At 44.2% G+C, this 24,707-nt stretch overlaps 1 long non-coding RNA gene across 2 annotated transcripts; it reads left to right on the top strand.

The window, feature by feature from the left end:
• The first annotated feature begins 1,973 nt into the window (after window positions 1-1,973).
• Window positions 1,974-22,704, top strand: LOC105371010 (uncharacterized). 2 transcript variants are annotated; one of them, XR_932698.4, is made up of 3 exons: window positions 1,974-3,051; window positions 19,777-19,932; window positions 22,297-22,704. It is a non-coding gene; the product is annotated as an uncharacterized LOC105371010 (long non-coding RNA). The 2 variants fall into 2 exon arrangements; XR_932699.4 differs by having other exon boundaries at window positions 19,699-19,932.
• Window positions 22,705-24,707: the final 2,003 nt, after the last annotated feature.

Below are 24,707 nucleotides of genomic sequence, written 5' to 3'. Positions count from 1 at the left end.
TCTCACCCACTGCCTGGCACACAGTCAGTACTCGAAGCTTAGTTGGTTTTCCCTGTGGCACACTGGAAACCTCTCTCTGAGTCTCTTGGGCTCATGGGCGAGAGTAGGTCTGGACCCTGAAGCCCATATCTGCAGCCCTGCCTGGGTCTCCTGTCTGTCCAGGACTGTGAGCTCTGTGGCATTGCCCACTTTGGGTTTGTGAGAATTTCTGCTGCCTGGAATCTCCTCCTGCTGAGTCTTCCTGAACTTCTCCTGCCCTTCCCATTGGACTTGACCTCAAGCAACCATGAACTCGTGAACTGTTGCATTCAATTCTTTATCCACCTGAGTTGAGGAGAAACATTTATTTTAACAAAAGCTGCCAAGACTCAATAGAAGCCCAACCTGGGAGAACAGAGCCAATGAGTGCTCCGTGAGCAGGTGTGTAGGACAGTTCAATTTAGATTTCATTATGGTTCTTTGGTGGGAAGTACGGGGTGGGTGTTGGCCCTCAAGACGTCATGGCACAGACCAGCCCTGGGGTGCAAGCTAGTAGTGGTGGGCTGGAGACACAGTTTGCATACTGATTGACATCCCTTCTGAATAATAGGAGATGAATACTCCCTACCTGCCTGGTTGGTTCTAAGTGCCGTAAGTTCATTGTCCCTAGTCCTGGCACAAATATCCTTGATAGATAGGCATCAAAGGCTTAAGAGGATCAAACAGCTGGTGTGCAAATACCCCAGGACCATTTCATGGGCCCCCAGTAGATGGAAGCTGTTATTCAGAAGCCAGCGTTTAAAGAGGTTAAATGATTTACCCAAGGACCTGATTCCATGTCTCAAATTATTTCAAAGTCTGTCTCTTTTATTTTTTTTTGCCAAGCCTTTTCTGCAACCAGGAAGGGCAGAGATATTCTAGGAGGATTTAACTGTAGGAGATATAAATATTTATCGAACAAATATAAACACATGAATGAGTGAGTGAATGAATAAAATATTCATTCTTCTGTAGAAATATTCATTTCTTCTCTAGAAATAATCTATTATAGAGCCTTCCAGAATGACTGGCCCTAAACCCTTTCCCCCATTACCACCAAGCCTCCATAGTCCTGGCTCTCACACTCAACAGCTCAGTCATGAGGTAAATTGTGGCCATTAGAGTAGTTTAATCCCACGTTTCCACCAGGGTTCCTAAATGAAACAAATTTTCATCTCATTCTCTTGCATGAAGCCAACATCTTCACCATGAGATAAATACATATACTTATATATTCATATACACATTTATCCAATGTGTATTTGGAGATTAACCATATGCTTGGTACTCTTCAATGACCTGGGAATAGAAAGATAATTAAGAAAGAGCAGGGAAGGACTCCAAAACAGTTCACCTTCTGGTAGTCAATCAGATACCATGGTTCCGCAGGAACACAGAAAAGCTGTCTTAACGGATCAGTACGAGTTTGCCAGACAGAAGGAGTAACTTGTGAAAAGGTGCCAAGGGCTGGGAGGCCATTGGCCTGTGACAAGCTCAGCTCTGGTTGGAGGGGCAATGTCGCAGACAGGCATGGGTGTGGTTCATTCCTGTTCTGACACTCACCAGTTTTTTGATTTTGGTCAAATTATTTCATTCTCAATGTGTTAGTTTCTTTATTTTAGAACTTGGGATGTTGTTGCTGAGGATGATGATGTTAAAAATAAAAAAGGTGAGCTGTAGCCCTTATGTGCCTGATGTTGCTCTAAGTGTTTTACATTAATTCCCTTAATCTTCAAAATGCTCCAGTTAGATAGTTTTCTCTGTTTTAGAGACAAGGAAACTGAGTAAAGTACCTCAACAAGTTATTGTGATGGTGCAATGAAAAGAAACGTGTGTGTGTGCATGTGTGTGTGTGTGTGTGTGCATGTGTGTGTGTGCGTGTGTGTGTGTGTGTGTGTGTGTGTGTATGTGGAAAATATGCTCTCAGGACTCTCTGTTCAGAACCATGACTCTTTAGATTCCAAGGTAACAAAGAGAAATAAAACTTGCCTGATTAGAAAGTCTTTAAGTAATTTTGTTGATATTGCCAAGTCTGCCACATTCTGAGAGCAAGGGATTGATCCTTTCTACCATGTTTTTAAAGAAATCATAGGGGGAAAAATGCCCTCACCCATCAAAGCATTTTACAACTCTTTTTCCAAGGTCAGCCTTCTGTTACTACTATGACCTCCTTAGACATTAACAGGGGAGCCTTGAGACTGCCACTGTGAACTTTGCCCCTGTTGAGAAATGCTTGTCTTATGATGTCCCTTCTGATATTCTCCGTGGGGACACTCAGCATCTTGCATCATTCGGCCGGACAGTTTGGAGTAGAATCCTCTCCTAGGTTTAAGAGCAAAAGACCAAACAGATGCTCAGCATTCCATAAAACCTACATGGCCACTAGGAGAAAGGCAAAGCTTTCTAGAACAATGTAGGCAGTCAGCAGTATGTTCCCAGCTGGCTCTCAATAAATAATGGCCAGTGGGATCATAAGACAGCGTCAATAGGGGAAAAATAAAGGGCTCAGTGGAGAACATCTGACTCCAAACTTCTGTGATGGGAGTATGATGGCTGGACATGGAAGGCATGACCAAATCAATGAGGCTCTTGTAGGCTAGGCTGTGGGGTCTGAAAGTCTTCCCATAGTTAGTGGGAAAATGTTGAAAGATTGAACCATGTGTATACTCTATTGTTGCCAGAGAAATCACTCTTGCAGCAGTAGGGTAGGTAAATGGGAAGGGACCATAGAAGAGGAGAGTTGGATAAACTAAGGGGCCATTGTTGTGTCACAGTGGGAAAGGATGAGGTTCTGAACTCAGAAACAGTGGGCTGGTAGAGAAGGAGACACATTTGTGCAATATTTAGGAAGCAAAATTGTAGAGCAGGAATGGATCTGAAGTCAATGAAAAACTCTTCATAGCTCTAGTTGTTGGGCTTCCCCAGAAGATGACATTGAAAGGAAGGTTTGGATGCAAGTTGTTCATTTAGGAGGAGATCTCAGGAAGCACAAAGTATTTCCTTGAGTCAGGACCTCCAAGTCCTCCCCTAACTGTAAGTAAGACCGGAAAGGGAAGGAATACACTGTAGGATGCCTTAAGAAGCAAATTACCACTCTGGGCAGCCAGAGTTCATCCCACTGTGGTCTTCTGGGATACTGTGTAGAACATGCCCCCAGGTTGTCTCATCCAAAGGGTGAGAGAGCTGGGGTATTTATCCTCCAACTTCCATGTGGGATTGTTGAGAGCTGTTCACAGGGAGGAACATTAGTTCCATGACATTTCCATTCTGCCCTAGAGCTAGACACATTTCTTCCCACAAACAGGTTCCATTAGTAAGAAGATTAATAGCAATCAGGTGGCAAGCTCCTGTGGCCAAGGAAGGCCCTATGCAAAGAATCAAAGGTGCTAACAGTAAGAATTCCTGGGCATATACCAGGTGGTGAGTGCTGGGGGGATGTAGGTAGATACCAATAATATGTTCTAGCTTTTTTGATTTTTTTCTTTTAAAAGGAGACCATGGAGGTAAAGCTCTAATAGGATGCTTACATCTCAGGTCACTAAGGTCACCTGGGATAGCAGATGAGTACAGGCTCCATATGGGCTCAGCCATGACTGGTTGAGTGTCCTGCAGGAGATGAGCTGGGGCCTGCTGCCCAGCCTGGCACCTGTCCTACTGTGATCTGCACTGGGCATAGAACTCCAGCCTCATGTGTCTGCCAATGCTTACTGCCTTAATAAAACACAAGGGCTGTCAGCAAAAGGACTTTATTGCCACTAGCAGAACTTTTGTGAAATGATAAAAATGAGCTAGCTGTGCCTTACAGAAAGCTACTATGCAATGATATACGCAGGCTGATGGCCGTAGGTTAACCCATTAATAAAGAGGAGGTGAGGAGCATGGCATTGTTGGCTATAATGAATGCTAATGAGGTGGCCCTGCTAATGGGACTCCTTTCTTCATTCTGTTATTACACTCAGCAGTTATGCAACATTGATTACCATCTACTTCTTGCATCTCTAGGCTGAGAAATGGGTGACTTAATGGAGATGTTTCACCCAGCAAAACAGTGATTGGGTTAGGAAAACTAGAAACTGGAGAAGAGAGTTGGTTACATTATAATCTGATTTAATGCTTCAAAAGATAGTGTTTTTTACACATTGGGTCTTTAAAAACAACCTGTTTTATTCAGGCTGAACTGCAGAAAAGGCTGCATGTCTTAATGCTTTTGACATATATAAAGAAATATGCCTATGACTCCTTCAAATGATGTGCTGCAAATTTGGACATAATAGAAATCTTTATGAGAATTGCATTTCTTCCTCTGCGGTCACTGATTCTAAGTTTGAAGGAGCTGTAGAATCTGTCCCTGCTTTCCACGCCCATCACCACTGCCTTGGTTTAGACCTTAGCATCTGTTACCTGGAAGTCTCAATAGCCCCTTCTTGGAGTGGCTCTTCTTCCCTTTAAGCCCACCCTATTCTGCCTCTATCTTAGCAATCTCTACCAGAATGGTCTTCCCAAAACCCAAATCTGATCCTATGATTCTATTGTTTCAAAAACTTCCAGTATTTCTCATCATCTAAACCGGTGGCCTGAAGATACCCTCTGACCAGTAGATGTCTGTTATTTCACCAGGTCAATATTCATTTGTAATATGAATTTTGGAAGCTTTTTCATTAAAACGGGAACAGCACATTGGTTACAGATTTCATTAATCTTTTCTGTTTTCAATATAATTCTTCATGACTTGCCTGATCCCTATTGGTACTGAAGATTGCAAGTCCTACCTACCACAAAAGGGCTTGTATTATCTGCCTTCTACCTACTTTTCCCACATCGTTTTTGCCATTCCCACCTGCCTATTAAAATGCAGAAGGTTTTAGAATATACTCTGCTTTCTCTTGGTCCCAAACCTTTCCATATGCTATTCCTGCGACTTGAATGCTTTTTCCACCTCGGCTTTCAGACTCATTATGTGTACGTTACATGTGTATATATTATATATGTGTATATTGCTTATGCAATAATGGATGCTGGAAGGTCCAAAATTTGCAGAGTAGTCCAACAGGGTAGAAACCCAGGGAAGGGTGGATGTTGCAGTTGGACTCCAAAGGCCGCCTGGTGGCAAAATTCTTCCTTGCTTGGGGCAGGTCAGTCTTTGTTCTATTAAAGCCTTCGAATGATTGGATGACACTCACCATGTTAGGGAGGGCAATCGGCTTTACTCAGAGTCCACCAATTTAAATGTTAATCTCATCTAAAAAACACCTTCACAGAAACATAAAGAATAATGTTTGAACAAATATCTGGGCACCATGATGCAGCCAAGTGAACACATAGAATTAGCCCTCATGATAAACAGTACTAAAGGGTTTGAAGTCGTAGATAATGCTACTTCATACATGTTGTCATCTTCCGTACTTCCTGTTGATCTCATTTTCCAGTTTAGCAGAGATTTTTCTCTAAGTTGAATGATCTCTTGGGCAGCCTGATTGGTGCTCAACATCTCAGGAGACACTCATAAGCCAGTCAGCTCCCAAGAATGGAGGAGGCGTTATGAGCCGTCATTCATAGCTCCTAACTAGGAGCTTAACACATAGTGCTTAGAATATGTTTTTATCTTATGTCAAGGCACCAGTGTAGAATCATTGCCGGTCATATACTAAGCACTGGGCTACTCTTTGAGGGTCATTGTTTTACTTAATCCATAGATAATACAAGTAAGGTAGGTGCTATCCTTGGCCCCGTTTTATAGATGAAGAAATGGAAGCTCAGAGAGGTTGAGGATTTGGCTAGTGCCCCTAGTTCTGGCTATCTACTGCGGCAAAATGTGTGTCCCAAACTTAACTGTGTAAAACAACTACCGTTCTGTTGTGCTCAGGAGTCTGTGCTCAGGAGGCTGCCCAAGAAGATCATTCAACTTAGAAAAAAACACAGACAGAACACAATGGGGTGGCTGATTTCTGTTCCACAGTGACTGAGGTCTCAGCTAGTTTGGCTCAAATGCCTGGAGGTGTCACGTGGAGGTGTCAACCAGATAAGTGGTTCTGGTGGCTTGGTTCTGGATGCCGGTTAGATTCCTCAGGTTTTCTTCATTTCAGGTTTGCTGGGGTTGGAATTCAAGTGCACTTTTTTCACACATGTGCTTGGGCTGTTCTGACCTCAATCTCTCTCCCTATAGCTTCACAGTGTGGTGGTCTCAGGGTAATCAGACTTCTTGCATGGGAGCTGGCTTCCCCCAGAGTGTGAGTTGCAAAAGTCTGCAAGACTTCTCATGACCTGGCCTCAGAAGTTTGAGATTGTCACATCTACAATAAGCTGTTGATCAAGCTGATCACTCAAGCCAGTCCACACGTGATGGGAGGGTTATTAGACTCCATCTCTCAATGGGAGGAGAGCAAAAAATTTCAACCATCTTTAATCTACCATACCCATAATTAGTGAGAGGCAGAACTGGGACTTGGAGCTGATTTGCTTGACTTCAAAATCCTTGCTTTTTTCCTAAATTGCTTTGTCTCTGCCACCATCCTGTGTATGATGGCCACAGGGTTCCTAATTATGAGCAGGACCCCGGGTCACCATGTAAATAGATAGGCAGCTGCAAGAGTGTTATGAGATGACACCCCACAATGTGTCAGGGTGGGGCAATGAGAAGGGCAAGTGCCAACTTCCTGCTGGGTGAAAGGGACACCGATGTCATCGCTCATGCTGCAGGGGGCCTCAGGCTTGACAGGAGAGCAGTATTTCAGAACTGCAGGGAAAATGCTAATGACCAATGCTAATGAGGAAGGGGAAGCAAGGGGAGAGGGAACGAGTTAAAGAAAAGAAGCCAAGAAGAGGAATAAAGTACTTGGGAGAGGAGGTGGTGAGGCCACGTCTTCTGCTGCAATCTCCCCCAGGAAGGATGAAGATACTCTACAAGTCAGTCCTTCAAACAGAAGAAAGCAAGGACCCTATTCTCCAGGGCTTTCCTTCACTAGACAGATGGGTGGATGACTACAACTGTGATCTCAGAGGAATGAAGGAACCCCAGGAAGGACACTGTAGAAAGAGGCAAGAGAGCCCCTCTTGAGCTCACTTATTTTGGTTTCTCCTGCCTTTCGTCTTTATCTCTGGGGGACAGTTATTATAATTCATTGAAGAATTAAGTACTGTTTTTAAAAAACTGACTAAAGCATCCAGTTCAGAGCCCTTCTATGAGCAACTATTTATAGCTTGTGAGGGATTCTTATCTGGATTGCAGAAGGGAGCTTGATTTCTAATTTCCAACAGCAGTATTTTCATGTAATTGAAAACTCAGTTTTTAAAATGTGGCATTGACTTTCCGCACATAATTGCTCTCTTAACACTTTCACAATGTAGAGAGGAGAGGAGAGGGTGTCATAAAATGTTTGCTATGGACCCTGAGCGCAGGAGCTTGAGACCAGCCTGGACAACATAGGGAGACCCTATCTCAAGAAACAAACCAAAAATGTGTGTAAGGTCTTGTTGGCTGCCTCCTGTCAGCTGATTCTTTTCTTGCTTACCAATGGGTCTTTATTACTGTTTGGAGTGAATGTGCCCGTGTCTCAGACATGAGTCATGAACGGTGTCAGCCAGTCATGACAATGCCATGCCCTTGGCCAGCGATCAGTGTAGAAGTGAAAATGTGACCTCCCCATCATGGCTAATGAGATGTTATGGGAAGTCAGCTGGGGTATTCTGGGTAAAATTCTTCCTCCTAAGGCAATAAAGCAGAGTCCAGAAGAAGACACTTCTTGCTCCCATCCTGTTCGTTTTGAGCAATCGTATGTGAGGATGTAATGCTTTGAGATCTGTAGCCATCTTATGACATGAGGAACAAGACATTTTTTTTCCAGAGATGTTGACCCAGTGCTCTGATATTTTTGAGTCACAGAATCAGTCCTCCCAGGGCCTGCCCTCAGATCTCTGGATTTCAAGCCACACTTAGTTAAGTATTCTGTTACTTGAAACCAACAGCTGCCTAATGTGTACATTTGGTCACAGGGTCCAACCATCCGGTGTTTGAAGCCAGGCCTGCATTTCAAATGAGAGAATGTGGCGCAGTACCCTCTGGATTTACTACTGGTTTCACTGAGAGGGTAGCAGATTTCCTATTTCTAGGCCCAGGACTCCTTTCCTGGCTTACCTGTGGTGTGTGTGCTGTGTGTGTGTGAGGGGGGGCAGTGGTGGGGAAGAGGGGGAAGTGGGAGGAGAGAGAGAGAAAGAGAGAGAGAGAGAGAGAGAGATTGAAGAAGAGAGAGGTAATATTTTGATTAAAATTCTCCATCTTAAGGTTGCAGTGAGCCGAGATTGTGCCACTGCACTCCAGCCTGGGCAACAGAGTAAGACTCTGTCTCAAAAAAAAAAAAAAAATTCTCCATCTTAGAAAAATTATGTCTTGGCACAGCTGCTGAGGAACCCCTTTTAAACCAGAGCCCTATTTGAAGAGGAACCCTTTGCTGGATTCTATTTTCCCCATATAATAGATTTGCATTATGGGGTCTGCAGTCTTACAAAAGAAAATCAAATATTTTCGGATTGGGTAATTCTCAAAGTGCCAGGATGCAGATTCCTTCAGCGTTTTCGTAACTGTGGTGATCATCACCTTACATCCTCTCAATTGCAAATTCTCTCTTCAGTCCCTCCTGGGCCATAATGGATGTTTTTTCCTTCACAGTGAACACCATAGTGAGCCTGGTCAGCAGAGGGGACTGGAGGGTCATTGCAGGAGGAAGGGCACCTCTTTCTGGTTCCAGTAGCTGCGTTTTTGTTGTTTTTTCCTGGCTCCCACTGCAAGGATCAGTCAGGGATGTGGCTGTCGGGGCCATCTGGTGTGCCCTAGCCCTGCGGCCAGAGTGCACAGACCCCTGGCATCTTTGCTGCCTGTCCTGGCCCATCAACCACCTTCCCAGAGCACTCCCAGTTCAGACACACACACACACATGCCCAGGCCTTGCATTCTCTCCTTATGGGTGGACTGCCAGCACCGTGACCCATTCTGTGCCCATCCACCAGCCTGCACCCTGGAGGGCTGCTTCCCGCTTGCCTGGTAGCTGTGGGGCAGCTCTGGCTTAGGCATCCTGGTGAACTCCTCCATCATCCAGTTGGCTGCAGCCACACCTTCTCCTATGAGGCCTGAACACCAGCCTGAGGGAAATCTGCCCTTCCTTGGGTCCTATTAGAGTCCTCATTTCATATTTACAGCCACTCTGGTATCATAGAGAACAATTCTTTATATTAAATTTCTCCTTGTCCCATACAGGACAGTCCATCTTCTCAGCATCTTTCCATTACTCATCAGGTTTCTGCCTCTTGGACCCAGCTTGATGCACTGAGTTTCAGAGTTAAGCACTATGTAGGATAAGATTTTAATGATTAATGTTTGTGGCATAGTTATCCACATGATGGGGAAAAGCTTGTCACCTGCAAGCGGAAGTCCCTTAGAAGGAGGCAGAGTATATCCATAGCTGCATTGACTGAGCCGGCAGTGGGAGGATGCAGGGAGGTGAAGGGGCATTGGGCATGGTGGCTGCCGATTTCTCGAAGAGCAAATGAGGACGCTGCCAAAGGAAGGCCACGTGGAGGGCCATACGCTTCCTGGCCACTTGCCTGAGAACCACCAGTGCAGTGGGATAAAACACTAAATATGCTCCAAACCTTTTAAGTCAGCATTACTGAGAGTGTTCCCTAGCAATCTTGCCTTACAAATCCTCCCAAGGGCATTCTGAATCACATGAAAAGCATGCAACCCCCTGCTTCAGGGAAGGTCTCCCACCAAAGGCCCTTTCAAAGGATCAGACAGCACCTGGAGAAGTTTCTCAAATGCCAGCTCCAGGGCTCATGAGGGCATGTGCCCTAGAAATGCGATTTTACAAGTGAGGAGGGGGTTTCCCATGCCTGAGTTTGAAGACGCTGCTGTGAACACTAGATTTAGAAACGGAGTGAGGAAGGATTTATTTTGGAAGAAAAAATGAGGGAGAAAAAAACCATTTCTGATTGAGCCCGCAAAACCTCCTGGAGCAGGTGAAGGTGAAGCATCTTTGCATGAGATTTAAGGATGAAATGGTCCAGAGTCAGCAGGATTATCAGGCTGAAGCAGGTTGGCAGATTGTCAGATATGGATGGCATAGGGGCAGGGGAGTGTGAACCCATCAAAACACGTTTGGGCTGCCGGACAACATGAGGAGGGCCCCAGGGGAAGGATTGCCAAGGATCCCCTGGTGATACCGAGCTGTGATGGAGCACTGCCCAGGGCGGTCCTGAGACCTGTGCCTGGTACCGTCTTAGGCACTTAGAGTCAGTGCTGCTGGTGTCCTGCCGGATTCTTCCAGAATCCCCTGTCCACCTAGGGGTGCTCCCTGAGAATGCCAGAGCCCCTGTCAGGGGATGTTCATCTGCCTCCTGGAGCAGGTCTAGACTCGCCCACAGGATGAGCTCTGAGCCAGGGGATTAATGGCTCTGGGCATACCCAGTAACTAGCATTTCCAAATTCCTGACACATTACTTATCTCAGGGATTCGAGGATAAGACATCTAAATTCCTGACACATTACTTATCTTAGGGATTCGAGGATAAGACATCTAAATTCCTGGGAACTCCTAAAATCATAAATTATTCTGCATTATAGTTGTGTTTACAAAGTGAAAGTAGTATTTAGTATTTTAATAGTATTTTTAAAGGTGCTTTAGTTGTATCTACAAAGAATCATAGCCTATGGCAAATATTCAAATGCTAGAAAACATGGGGTAGTGTTTGTGTAACACAACATTCAACGTTCTAGCAGGGTTAACAGCACTACACAGAACCACATGTCAAAATGGCCAATTTAAGGACTTCTTTGATTGCTTCCTCGTTATTGTTTGAAACACCAGCACCACTCATATGTTTTGAATGAGGCACATGAAGCATAAGAACTGATTAATATTTATTGTAATTGCAAGAATGGCATGAGCAGCAACCAGGACCAGGAACACACCCTTGTCACATGGCCACTGTGTGAAGAAGGCTGACTGCTGACTGGTTAGATGTGATGTTTCTCCGCTGCGTGCTCCTGTCCTGGTTCCAGGAAGTGTGACCTTCACCTTCCACTCTCCATGGCAGCCTTCCCTGCTGTTGCTTTAGACCTGACTCAGTGGGTTTGTTAGGACCAGTGATAGTTCTTTGTTGGTTGTTAATATTTACAATTCTGTTTCCCATGTCCTTGAACTCTCACATGATTTTTCTTGGGATTTGGGGTTTAGGATATAAAAACCTTCTGAGAAATTCCAGGAGGGAATTCCCACATGGAAACACTACCTTCAACCCATGAGAAGCAGGGAGTTGGGATAATTTTCAGGCTAATTATGGACTTGCCATCTCTTAAGATTCTTCAGTGAGGTTGAATTCCAGTTGCGGAGAGCAGTAACCGACTCCATAGCATAGACTTCAGTGTGGCATCTTTCTGTTCCCTGTTTAATTTCCACATTCCCTACCATTTGTTTGTTTGTGGGGAGGTGGGGGTTAGGGAGCTGTTATGGGCTGAATTGTGTCCTCTCAAATTCATGTGTTGATATCCTAACCCCTAGTACCCCCATATGTGACTGTGTTTGGAGATATCATCTTTGCAGAGGTAATTAAATTAAAATGAGGTCATGAATTCTAATCCAATAGAACTGGTGTCCTTATAAGAGAAATTTAAACACAGAAATGCACAGAGGGAGGACCCTATGAAGACTCAGAGAGAAGATGGCCATCTGTAAGCTAAGGAGAGAGGCATCAGCAGAAACCAACTCTGTGGACACCTTGATCTTGGACTTCCAGCCTCCGGAAGTGTGAGACACTGAATTTCGGTATATAAGCCAGTCAATCCATGGTACATGGTTATGGAAGCCCTAGTAAGCAAATACAAATTTATGTCCAAATAAACTACTTGCATGTGAATCTTTGTCTCATGATCTGCTAAAGTAGGACCCAAACTAAGAAGACAGTGTTTCCTTTAATCTTCACAACAAATTTGAATGGTAGGCTTGAACATCTTTGTTAACAGATTAGAAAAGTGAAACCTAGAAAGATAAAGATAAGGGAAACTTCAAAATCAGTCTTGTTTAAATCCAAGACCCATCCATGCTCTTTTCCACCCACACGGCCCTCCTCTCCCCCATATAGCCTGAAGATGATCCCTCTGGCTGTCTCGTTTAAACAGACTTTGCATGCCATGTGGATTCCAAATTTGGCTGGCCAGGGCAGGACTGCAGCCTGAGGATAGCTCTTCTGTTGATTTAAGTGGAATAAACAGGCCTTGGTCTTGTCTCCTGGAGAGAGCACATGGGGAGTGGCAAGGCCCTGGGCTTGTCTCTAGAGTGCCTGTTTATGTGACATCACTGAAAGGTGAAGGAGCGGGTGAATGGGGAAATGTTTTAAATTTCATCATGTACGCTTGGACTCATGGTGGAGGTCAGAGTCCTTTCAAAGTAGGAAAATATGAATTTGAAAAGCAGCAAAATATTGGGAGAATACTGCTTATGGAGAAGGAACTTGACCTCAAATTGGAAAGGACTGTAGGTATGTTCTTTTGTGAAGGAAGAGCAGATGCAAGTGAGTGAGCTCTGGAGAATTTCAAGGAGAAAGAGGAACAGGGGTCACGATATGCTGGGGGCTGGGAGAGTGACTGAGACCCAGGTGAGTGTCTGTAGGAGGAAAAGGAAGCTGGAAACGCAGGCCATTTGGAAAGGAGGCTCAGAAGCCTGGTGTTGTAATGTTTCTGTGGTAGAAAGATTTATCCCGGTTAGTGGCTCAGGGTACTTAGAGACAGATGTGGCCCTCCTTCAGCAACGTGGCCAGATCATCTGTTTTGCTTTCTCCATAAATATGTCTCTCTGAATGTCGACAGGGAGAGATTTGGAAATAAAACAAAAAAACATTTTCTATGAGCATAAAAGGCTTAATTTATCACCAGCCAAATGAAAATGATTTGTTTTTTAAAAAGACTGTTTGCTGAACAAATGTTTCAAAAACGCAATAGATTATTGCAATTATTGTACCCACTTTAAAAAAAATTTACCAACGGACGGACAGGTGTTCTAAAAATGTTTTCATACATTTCTCTCTGTGAAGGTGGAATCTAAGACGAAATTGCCTGGGAAATGTTTCATGTACAGTAAGGCTGTTTAAGGGAAGGCACAGACTTTTCAAGTTGTTTAGCCGCTGCTCTTTGGGGCTGCATCTGAGGTGAGCTTCTAGGTGTGCTCTGAGAAGTTGCTCTGACATTCTTGCTATTGTATTGACCACAGGGATGATGTTGGTGTTCTCGTCCACATCACAAGGCTCACACTGTAGCAGGACCCAGAGAACAAACACCTCTCAGACCTTAGTGTCAAGAAAAACATATGGAAGGTTTTTGTTTTGTGGATCTTGTAACTCTTGGAAATGACCGCATTTCCCTCTTGTCACTGGGAATCTTAGATTCATGTTTGTGGCTCATGTTTTATAGATGTGTAGCATCCCTGGGGTAAATTTTGTGTGCCAAATGTGATTTTATTTTATTCCTCTTTCCTCATTTCCCTGTAGTTCTGATTGACTTTACTTATTTTCACCCCATGGTATGGATTTTGTGTTTCATCGAGGTCTTTTAGACTAAGAGGCTGTAGTGGATGTTGTTGTGTGTTGCCTGAATCTCCCTTGAAAAATCAAGGCACTCATCGCTCCAGCTGACCACTGCCTGCTGATGACTCATAGCGTGTGCCTCAGCAGGAGTTGCCCTGTCTTTGTCTAATTGGAGCTGTCTCATCCAAGGGAGGCTAGTCCACTCCCTGGGGGCAGCCTGCATCCAAAGACTGGTTGATGGAGTGGCACAAAGGCCTGGTGGCTGTATTAGTCCATTTTCATACTGCTATGAAGAAATGTTCAAGACTGGGTAATTGATAAAGAAAAAGAAGTTTAATAGACTCATAGTTCCATATGGCTGGGGAGGCCTCACAGTCATGGTGGAAGGTGAAGGAGGAGCAAGACACATCTTGCACGGTGACAGGCAAGAGAGTCTGTGCAGGGGAACTGCTCTCTATAAAACCATTAGATCTCATGAGACTTATTCACTATCATGAGAACAGCATGTGAAAAACCCGCCCTCATGATTCGGTTACCTCCCACTGGGTCCCTCAGGGATGTGGGGATTATGGGAGCTACAATTCAAGATGAGATTTAGGTGGGGACACAGCCAAACTATATCAGTGACCTTGCTTTGATTTAGGATAACTCAGCTTCAGAGCCACCCCAGCCTCACAGCTCCTTGTGAGATCCTCTGAGGATGCTGGTGCAATTGCTCCCAAAGCCTCTGTGCCTGACTCTCCATCTCAAAGCCTGTTTCCTGGGAATCTGAGCAACAGCAGTTGATGCCAGCAGTGGGATGAGGAAGCAGATTTTAAAATGGGATTTTGGAGCTGGATCAGATGGTAATGAAAGCCCATTCCTGGTGGTAAATGGAGTCCTGATTGCTACAGGCATGGGGTAGTGTGGTTCTGGCAGAGTAGGGGCCTCGGTGGGGCTGCCAGAGGAAGGGAATGCATGGTGGGCACAAAGTCTAAGGCATTAAACAGTGTAGTCAAACTTTAAAAGTTAGAAATCATAAGGACTATGGGATTGGATGGTTATCAATGGATGGGGCCATCAATATATTGCAGCGAGACAATGAAAGGCTGTGAGTGATCAATCACCAACTTAAGGCTCAGTGTGGAAACTGGAAGGCATCTCTGACAGCTTTTAAAGAGACTTGCTCTAGGCAGAGGGCAGAAAAAAACCCAGGATTAGACCTGGAACTTATTATGAGAGTAGAGGAAGCACTGAGAAGACAGGTCTGGTTTGAAACAGTCAGGGTCCCGATTAGGTTAGGCTCCCTGAGAATTGGGATGGGACATCTGCATTGATGTACTAAAAAATCCTGTTTCCTAGGTCGGGCACGGTGGCTCATGCCTGTAATCCCAGTACTTTTGGAGGCTGAGACAAGCGAATCGCTTGAGGCCAGGAGTTGGAGATCTGTCTGGCCAACATGGCGAAACCCCATTCCTAGTAAAAATACAAAAATTAGCCAGGCATGATGGCATGCATCTATAGTCCCAGCTACTGGGGAGGCTGAAGCATGATAACTGCTCGAACCTGGGAGGCAGAGGTTGCAGTGAGCCGAGATCCTGCCACTGCACTCCAGCCTGGGCAACAGAGCAAGACTCCATCTCAAAAAAAAAAAAAAAAGAAAAATCCCCTCAACCCTCTGGGCCTGTATGAGCCCACTCTTCCATGTTAAAGATTAGTTCTCCTCCCTTACTCCAAGATAATGCAAAGGCCTCTGTCTTGCAGATAAAATGTCCCCTCTGCCCACCACCCCCAAGATCTACCTCCACCTTCTGTCTTGTCCTTCAGACCAATATATAGGATTCAGTCACAACCTAAGATGGCTGGCTAAGGGATGGGCCAGCAAAGTGAAGAAAGGAACTATATTTTGAAGGAGCTGAAGGACTAGTCAACTTGAAACTGCAGGATGTAGGAGAATATGTATGGGACTGGATCCTCAGATGCTTAGAGGTAGAACATAAAATTGGATAAGGAATGGTTTATGGATAGGGGAGCATTTGTCCATGATACAGGAGTAGCCTTCTGGCTAGGAACCTGGGAGACGGTGCTAATACATTGCTAGCATGACGCTTGAAGCTTGGGGAAAGCAAAAGCATACACCAAGTGAAGGAGGAGTCCTAGCACTGCCATGTCAGGGGAAGACAAGAAGGATCAAAGGGCTCAGAGAGGCAGGGCATGGTGGCTCACGCCTGTAATCTCAGGCGTGATTGGGAGGCTGAGGCGGGTGGATCACCTGAGGTCTGGAGTTTGAGACCAGGTTGGCCAACATGGTGAAACACCATCTCTATTAAAAATGCAAAAAATTAGCTGGGCGTGGTGGCTGGCACCTGTAATCCCAGCTACTTGGGAGGCTGAGGCAGGAGAATCGCTTGAACCCATGGGGTGGAGGTTGCAGTGAGCTGAGATTGCGCCATTGCACTCCAGCCTGGGCAACAAGAGTGAAACTCTGTCTCAAGGAAAAAAAAAAGGGCTCAAAGAAGCAGGCATCCTGGAGTGAATATACTATGTATATAATATGTAGGCCTGCCACTCCAAAATCCCATGTTCCAAAAAAAGTACTTTAGGTAAAAGATATACATTTTCTTTATTACTGTCATCCTTTGATCTTAAGGCTTCTGTTGCTAATGAAACTTTTGGCATCACTGCTGTTGCTTGAGAACAAACAGATCTTCCTCTCTGAACAATCTCCCATCCTTCAGCATCTTTCCTTTCTATGCAAGAGAAGAAAACAAATCAAGATTTCTTAGATGATAAAAAATACTTGGAAGTCTATAAAATAAAAACATTTCCTAGTTTAACTTCCCTTAAATATAACAGATATACAAACATGAGAACATTTTACCTACCAAGGCCATGAAGGAGTGCCCTGTTGAGAAGGCAGCAGCATATTTGATAAACTCCATAGTAGCTGTCTTCTGTAAACCATGGCTGATGATAAATACTGTTCTAGAAATGGGCTTACTGATAGCACTGGGCTGGACGGTGGTGCTTAACCATCAGAGCAAAGCACACCCGACTTTTTTTTTTTTTATATTATGAATGTACCCTACAGCACCCAGTCCTAGAAGTATATAGTCAGTAAAGGAGAAATGGTTATTACAATATACAGAACCAGAAGCTATTCTGTGGAAAATTTTGTTTTTTTTAATTATTGTTATACTTTAAGTTTCAGGGTACATGTGCACAACGTGCAGGTTAGTTACATATGTATGCATGTGCCATGTTGGTGTGCTGCACCCATTAACTCATCATTTAGCATTAGGTATATCTCCTAATGCTATCCCTCCCCCCTCCCCCCACGCCACAACAGTCCCTGGTGTGTGATGTTCCCTTTCCTGTGTCCATGTGTTCTCTTTGTTCAATTCCCACCTATGAGTGAGAGGATGTGGTGTTTGGTTTTCTGTTCTTGCGATAGTTCGCTGAGAATAATGGTTTCCAGCTTCATCCATGTCCCTACAAAGGACATGAACTCATCCTTTTTTATGGCTGCGTAGTATTCCATGGTGTATATGTGCCACATTTTCTTAATCCAGTCTATCATTGTTGGACATTCAGGTTGCTTCCAAGTCTTTGCTATTGTGAATAGTGCCGCAATAAACATATGTGTGCATGTGTCTTTATAGCACCATGATTTATAATCCTTTGGGTATATACCCAGTAATGGGATGGCTGGGTCAAATGGTATTTCTAGTTCTAGATCCCTGAGGAATCGCCACACTGACTTCCACAATGGTTGAACTAGTTTACAGTCCCACCAACAGTGTAAAAGTGTTCCTATTTCTCCACATCCTCTCCAGCACCTGTTGTTTCCTGACTTTTTAATGATCACCATTCTAACTGGTGTGAGATGTTATCTCATGGTGGTTTTGATTTGCATTTCTCTGATGGCCAGTGATGATGAGCATTTTTTCATGTGTGTTTTGGCTGCATAAATGTCTTCTTTTGAGAAGTGTCTGTTCATATCCTTCACCCACTTGTGGATGGGGTTGTTTGTTTTTTTCTTGTAAATTTGTTTGAGTTCATTGCAGATTCTGGATATTAGCCCTTTGTCAGATGAGTAGATTGCAAAAATTTTCTCCCATTCTGTAGGTTGCCTGTTCACTCTGATGGTGGTTTCTTTTGCTGTGCAGAAGCTCTTTAGTTTAATTAGATCCCATTTGTCAATTATGGCTTTTGTTGCCATTGCTTTTGGTGTTTTAGACATGAAGTCCTTGCCCATGCCTATGTCCTGAATGGTATTGCCTAGGTTTTCTTCTAGGGTTTTTATGATTTTAGGTCTAACATGTAAGTCTTTAATCCATCTTGAATCAATTTTTGTATAAGGTGTAAGGAAGGGATCCAGTTTCAGCTTTCTACATATGGCTAGCCAGTTTTCCCAGCACCATTTATTAAATAGGGAATCCTTTCCCCATTGCTTGTCTTTGGCAGGTTTGTCAAAGATCAGATAGTTGTAGATATGTGGCATTATTTCTGAGGGCTCTGTTCTGTTCCATTGGTCTGTATCTCTTTTTTGTTACCAGTACCATGCTGTTTTGGTTACTGTAGCCTTGTAGTATAGTTTGAAGTCAGGTAGCATGATGCCTCCAGCTTTGTTCTTTTGGGTTAGGATTGACTTGGCGATGCGGGCTCTTTTTTGGTTCCATATGAACTTTAAAGTAGTTTTTTCCAATTCTGTGAAGAAAGTCATTGGTAGCTTGATGGGGATTGCATTGAATCTGTAAATTACCTTGGGCAGTATGGCCATTTTCACGATATTGATTCTTCCTACCCATGAGCATGGAATGTTCTTCCATTTGTTTGTATCCTCTTTCATTTCATTGAGCAGTGGTTTGCAGTTCTCCTTGAAGAGGTCCTTCACATCCCTTGAAAGTTGGATTCCTAGGTATTTTATTCTCTTTGAAGCAATTGTGAATGGGAGTTCACTCATGATTTGGCTCTCTGTTTGTCTGTTATTGATGTACAAGAATGCTTGTGATTTTTGCACATTGATTTTGTATCCTGAGACTTTGCTGAAGTTGCTTATCAGCTTAAGGAGATTTTGGGCTGAGACGATGGGGTTTTCTAGATATACAATCATGTCATCTGCAAACAGGGACAATTTGACTTCCTCTTTTCCTAATTGAATGCCCTTTATTTCCTTCTCCTGCCTGATTGCCCTGGCCAGAACTTCCAACACTATGTTGAATAGGAGTGCACACCTGACTTTTCTAATGATCAGTATGGTCATAGCGGGGGTGTCAGAGATGGGTGAATATGCAGAGAGCTGAGGAGGTGATAAATAGAACATGGTGTCTCATAAGGAAAGATGGAGGGAAAACCGGCCAGAGCCTTGCTCGATCTATACGATAGGAGAAATAACATAGTTCTGTATTATGCTTCACTCAGAAGTGGGCAAGTCTTATGTGGTGCACCTGAAGCAGCCCTCCAGATTGGAGAATGTTTCCATAAGTCTCATTGGTAAGAAGTGGATCACATGGGTACCCCTAATTACCAGGGAGATTGGGGGCTTAGCCATCAGGCAACGGGGAATGGTATTGCCATCCTAGGCCAGATCATGGTGAGTCATGCCCTCAGTAGAGTGCATGGTCCTGATATGAAGCCAGGGTTATGCTAGCAAGGAGGCAGGGGAATGGCTGTTAGGCAGGCAAGCACTAGGGCCTGTCACAGAAGCACCCATGGGATCCTGTGGGAATGGGTGAGAATTATTCTGCAAGGAAGGTTTTCCCTCCTTTTCTGCTGTTTTCAAGTTTTCTGACTCCACTTCTAAAGTCAGTATTGCATTATTCACAATGCTGTATTAGAGTGTTATTAACATCCTTTAATAGCGAACATTGCATTATTGGGTTCTCCTAGTGCCAGCCAACCTGAGAGATCACAGCTGCATGTGCGTGTGTATGTGTTTTATCAGTTTCACAGTGGCTTTCATCATGGCTGATTTCTCTAAGGCATATATTGATGTTCTTAATGATTAACTCTAATATGTGTAGGCCAAGAGGGAAAGATTTTCATTGATGACATTGTTTTTTCCTCATTCCCCATGGTTTTCATCAGCTCAGTATAATAATTTTTCTTCTCTACCTCTGGTCTTCCTCCCAGAGCCACTGTGCCTTCTCCAGGTAGAAACAGCTTTCTGTCTCATGACTGACACCCTTCCTTGGTTCCTGTCATCTGTAGCCAGGTATGCTGGGTGCTGGAGAGAGCCCTGGACTTGGAGTCAAAAGACTGCAGTTGGAGCAGAGGATCTTCCCTCAGAAGTTCTGCTGTGGGCTGAGTCGTTTCACCTCTCTGGGCCCCAGATGGACCTTTGTAAAACTGAGTGGAGGCGAGGAGGTGGGTGATGTGGAATCTCTGTGATGCCTCGGAGCCATAAGTGTTCATGACACTCCATGTCTGATTCTCCTCAAGGGGATCTTCGTCACTTGTGGTCACATGTCCTGGTTTCCCCAGGGGCATCTACACTATGTCACATGAGGCTAGTTTTTAGTAAGTGCTCTCTGGTTGGTTTCTATGATGTAAGCTTCTCTTCATGTAGCTAAGAGATGATACTTTAAATGGATAAAAAGGGATATTTTTAAAGCTGCTTTCTCAAATTCATCCTGGCTGCATTGCTATGGAACATGGCCCTGGAGCTGGCATTTCACTGTCTATTGACCATGCAACCTGGGGCAAGGGACTTAATTTCAAACAACTCAGGGTCAGGAAGCAACTACCTCATTGGACTAAATGAGAGAGTCCTTGCCCAGAAGGAGCTGGGTGCTTCTTATCCTCATGCCTCTGGCACTGTGCTTCAGACTCCATCCTGACACTTCTCATTCTGCACTGGACTCCCTTGGACTCCCCTGAGGACAGGTACCACAGCTTACTCATCCATGGTGGCCATGCTTCTCACCCAAGACGGCAGCTCATCAACCACAGTTGACCCATAAAACTTCTGACTTTGCCTTTTTCCCCTCCTTTTCTCTTATGTCCCCTCTGAAGCCTGTTCGCCAACCTCTCTGGGAATTCTAATGTCTCCTTCTTGCCCTTTTTATTTAAAATTTTAGGCTCAGTAAATTCCTTTGTTAATTTTAGTTGATGAAACCCCAAACCAGAGACCAACACATGGTAGAGATATCTTTCCGGAGGCAAATGTCTGTGCTTGATTTACATTCAGGCTGGGTTAACACAACACCAGCTGGATGAAAAAATTTTTTAAAAGCTTTAAAAGATGCTATTTCAAAATGCCTAGACATTTGGATTCATTGGACGCAGCCAGGGTGCGGAGTGAGTTTTCCGGAGCTCGGATGCTTCTGACCTTTTTTGCAGGGAAAGGCCATGGTTAGAGTCACTTGTGGCCTTGTCTTCTCCAGTCACTAATTTTTCACTCATCTTTTCCAAGACCTATTACCCTGCCCTTTAATCATTTTTATTGCATTTCTCTGGCCCATCTCCAGGTCTTGACATCTCTCTTAAAATGTAGAGACCACAAACTGGGTAAGAAACCCTAATGAGGAAGGCAACAATATGGAGTCCATTAGAAGGATTGATTCCCGGCCCCTGCATCTGCTGCTAATTTATCCTAGCTTTTAAAGTCATGTCTAGGAGGCTCCCTTGCTTTGAGACCGTGGTCCTCAATGACCCACCATGCTTTCACTGCTGTGCTGCTTATGGGCCTACTATTCTGCAGCACAGGCCTCCTTGGATTGGTGTGGCTTCTGATCAGGCTGCCTTGTATTGTATGTGTCTGCTTGGGTGAAGCTCTTCTATTTTTCAAGATCTGCCTGGAATTTAGTCTCACTTAACAATCTACAAACTTTCCATTGCTTTATCAAGCTCAGCAGCAAAAATGCTCAGCGCAGCTCCATACCTGCTGAGCCACACAGAGGGGGCTGGGCTCTCCAGCTCTATCCAGAGTGTGCAATCATTGGGCTGTTCTGGCCCTGCACTAGCCACCCATCCCCACCCATCCAGAAGTGTTGCTGCAGGAATTACGTTCATTGGTTCAGGTAGAAAAACACAGCAGCCTCCATGACCTTAGTGACTGGTATGGAAGCAGCCACTGTGGATTTGTAAAAAACAAATGGTGCGAAGTCTGCACTTGGCACTTTCTTATTCTAATACTCAATGAAAGCACAAAGCATGGCTTTAAACCGTCACTCAGGAAAGGCCTGTGTGTGTCAGGAGGGGGGCAGGTAAAGAGGGATTGCTTTACTGAATATTCTACAGAGTTCTCTCCTAAGTCACCCGAGGATGCTGCTTGGAGAATCCAGATGCTGTTTGAGGTGGGGGATTTCCTGAGTGGGTTGTCTCAGGAACAGTCAGGCCCAGGATAAGCCTCACCAACTCAGGGATGTTGGATGCAGAGATTGAGCGTGGGCTCTAGTCCATAAGTCCTAGTCCTCATCAACCCCTCTGGTCTTGTGCCAGCTCTGGGCCTTAGCTTTTTCATCTGCTTCTTAAAAAAGAATTGTAAGTGCCTATTTCTTAAGGTCTTGTGAGGATCAAACAAAACAGTGGATGTTATAGGCTTTTGTATATGCTAAAGAATTCTACATTAAGAGGCAAAGGTTATATTATATAATTACATATATATGTATATATCTATATATAGATCTATTACATATGAGTTTAAATTAGGTTTGGTGGCACGTAGGAGAAGAAAAACCCTACATCAAAAGGGCTGAAACACAATACAAATGTTTCTCTCACATGCAGGTGCAGCAGGTCCATAAATTCATCAGCTTCCCAGGCTGCTTCCACCTTTGCTACATGTGGCCTCATCCTTACAGCCCAAGATGGCTCCTAGGGCTCTAGCCATCACATGCTGGTACCAGAGAGCAAGATGACTGAAGGGGAGGAAAGAGAGCATGTGCTTGTCTCGTGAAGAGATTTCCTGGAAGTTACACAAAACATTTCTGTTTTCAGCTTGTTGACTAGAACATAGTCGTCTGTCATACTTAGTGTGGAGGGTGACCAAAGAGGGAGTGTTTTGTCTGAATAGCATTGCATCCAGCCAGATAGCGAGGGCAAGTAGCTGGAGGGAAGAGGAAGACAGACATTGTAGAGGAAGCTAGCAGTGACTCCCCCCCAGATTATATCCTATTAATAAAAGTAAGAACCTAATTTATGCCATGTGCCTGGGCCTCACAGGGCCATCACACCTCCATGAAACAAAGTGCTTGGCCTCACTCTGGTTTGCTTTTGTCATCTCTGAAACAAGGAGGTTTTACTTCCCCATGTTTCCCAAATGTCCATCATTCAAATAATGCTTCTGCTGTGTAGCCATGTCTACAGCTGTGGTCAATGCTCCTCATCAAGGCCGCTGTCTGTGTACCACTCGTGATTTAATCAGTCCGTTTTCTTCCAGGGGACTCTCCCTTTAAGCTTCTCTCTCTCTCTCTCTCTCTCTGTCTATATATATATATATATATACATATATATATATACACACATATGCACATATATATATCTACACACACACATATGTAACATATATTTAGAAGCTTAAATATGTATTATATATTCACTCTCTCTATATATAGAGAGAAATTTATATATATATATGTATGTATTCCTCTAACACTCCTGCACCACACACTGATCTTCCTATTCAACAAATACGAAGGAGGCTGCAGGCACTGAACCTTGATCAGGTCACTACATCTGACCTGACATTAGGATACTTTTATTTAAGTTTCTAAATGTATAAGTTACATACATTTATATATATACACATATATAGAGATTTAGATATTGAAAAAATACATATTTATATATTGAAAAAATCTATATATAGACAGAGAGATTTATATGTTGAAAAACCCAAGTAAAATAAAAATAAGAAAGTATCCTTAACATCAGGTGAGATGTAGTGACCTGATCAAGGTTCAGAGCCTGAAGCCTCATTCCTGTTTGTTGAAGAGGAAGATCAGTGTGTGGTGTGGGGGTGTTAGAGAAATAGCGTCAGCAAACTGGAACTCTCTTCTTGCCCTAATAAGCAGGACTGAAAGTGTTCTCCCTATGTAATTTACTTTCTTTTAAACTTAAAATGAAGTTAAAATATGTTTTAAATTTAAAGTGAAGACTTAATTTGATGTCACGTCACCGTCCACTGAAGTTATCTCACTTTTCGCAGTGATGCAGCCCCCACCAGTTAGGATTCATTCTACTCTACGATTTCCAAGTTTCTAAGAAACTTAGGAAACTTACACTAGGAGTTTTAAAGGCATGATGTTCGTGCCTGTAAGTGAATTTGGCCCAAATACTGCTGTGCAGCCTCAGGCATTTTCCAAAGGGAACCCCGGCCTTTGGGGTTGTCATGAGGTGCAGAACCCTGGATGGTCCCTTGAAGTTCCCCTGATCCAGCTGCAAGGGAGCTGGTAGGAGCCTGAGCTCAGATCAGGGAGAGGAGAAAGCCAGGTGTGGGGAGGTCCCTCCAACAGGATGGCCTGTTTTCATCAGAGCTGGAGGCTAAGGAGAAGGGCAAGGTTCCAGTTCAGAAGAGAACATCTCTTGAAGGCCAAAGACTGCCTTGAGATACTGTGGCTGCAGCAAGGCTCCCTGCAGCCCCCGCGTGGCTGCCTCCCACTGTCAGCCACTTCCCCATATGGACCCTCACAGACTGAACAAATCTGAGTGACCTCAGAGATGCCTGAAGGCACCTAGCTCTGTTTATTTCATGGCACATTTTAAAGAGCCCCAGGAACTGGAGATAGAGCCCACTGGGAGGGGAGTCTGGTTTGGACATTGTTTTCTTCATTTTCATCTTCTGTGAATTACTCTTCTAGTTGATCTTTTCTAGTACTTAAAAGTAGCTATTGGTCTCCCTGTCAAATCCAGTAAGAAACAGGGATCCCCAAGCACTTGGGTAACGAAGTCCATTGTTGGGTTAAGACCTGAGCTGCCAAGAAACTCAGACACAGATCCACGAACCTTTTTACATGTGGGGATTGGTGTAATTGGCTTAACTGGCTTGATGCTGACTGGCAGCACCTTCAGGGAAGAATCTTACTGGGGTTCCACCTCAATGTATGCATTGGGATGGGCTGTAGGAGGGTGCCTTAGGGGCAATTGCAGTGATGTGTTGGAAGCATGGGATAGGGGTATCCCTGTGGGAGCCAAGGGAC

The sequence above is a fragment of the Homo sapiens genome, chromosome 15, assembly GCF_000001405.40.
Source record: "Homo sapiens chromosome 15, GRCh38.p14 Primary Assembly".
Classification (NCBI taxonomy): domain Eukaryota; kingdom Metazoa; phylum Chordata; class Mammalia; order Primates; family Hominidae; genus Homo; species Homo sapiens.
This window is presented reverse-complemented; position numbering and strand designations above follow the sequence as displayed.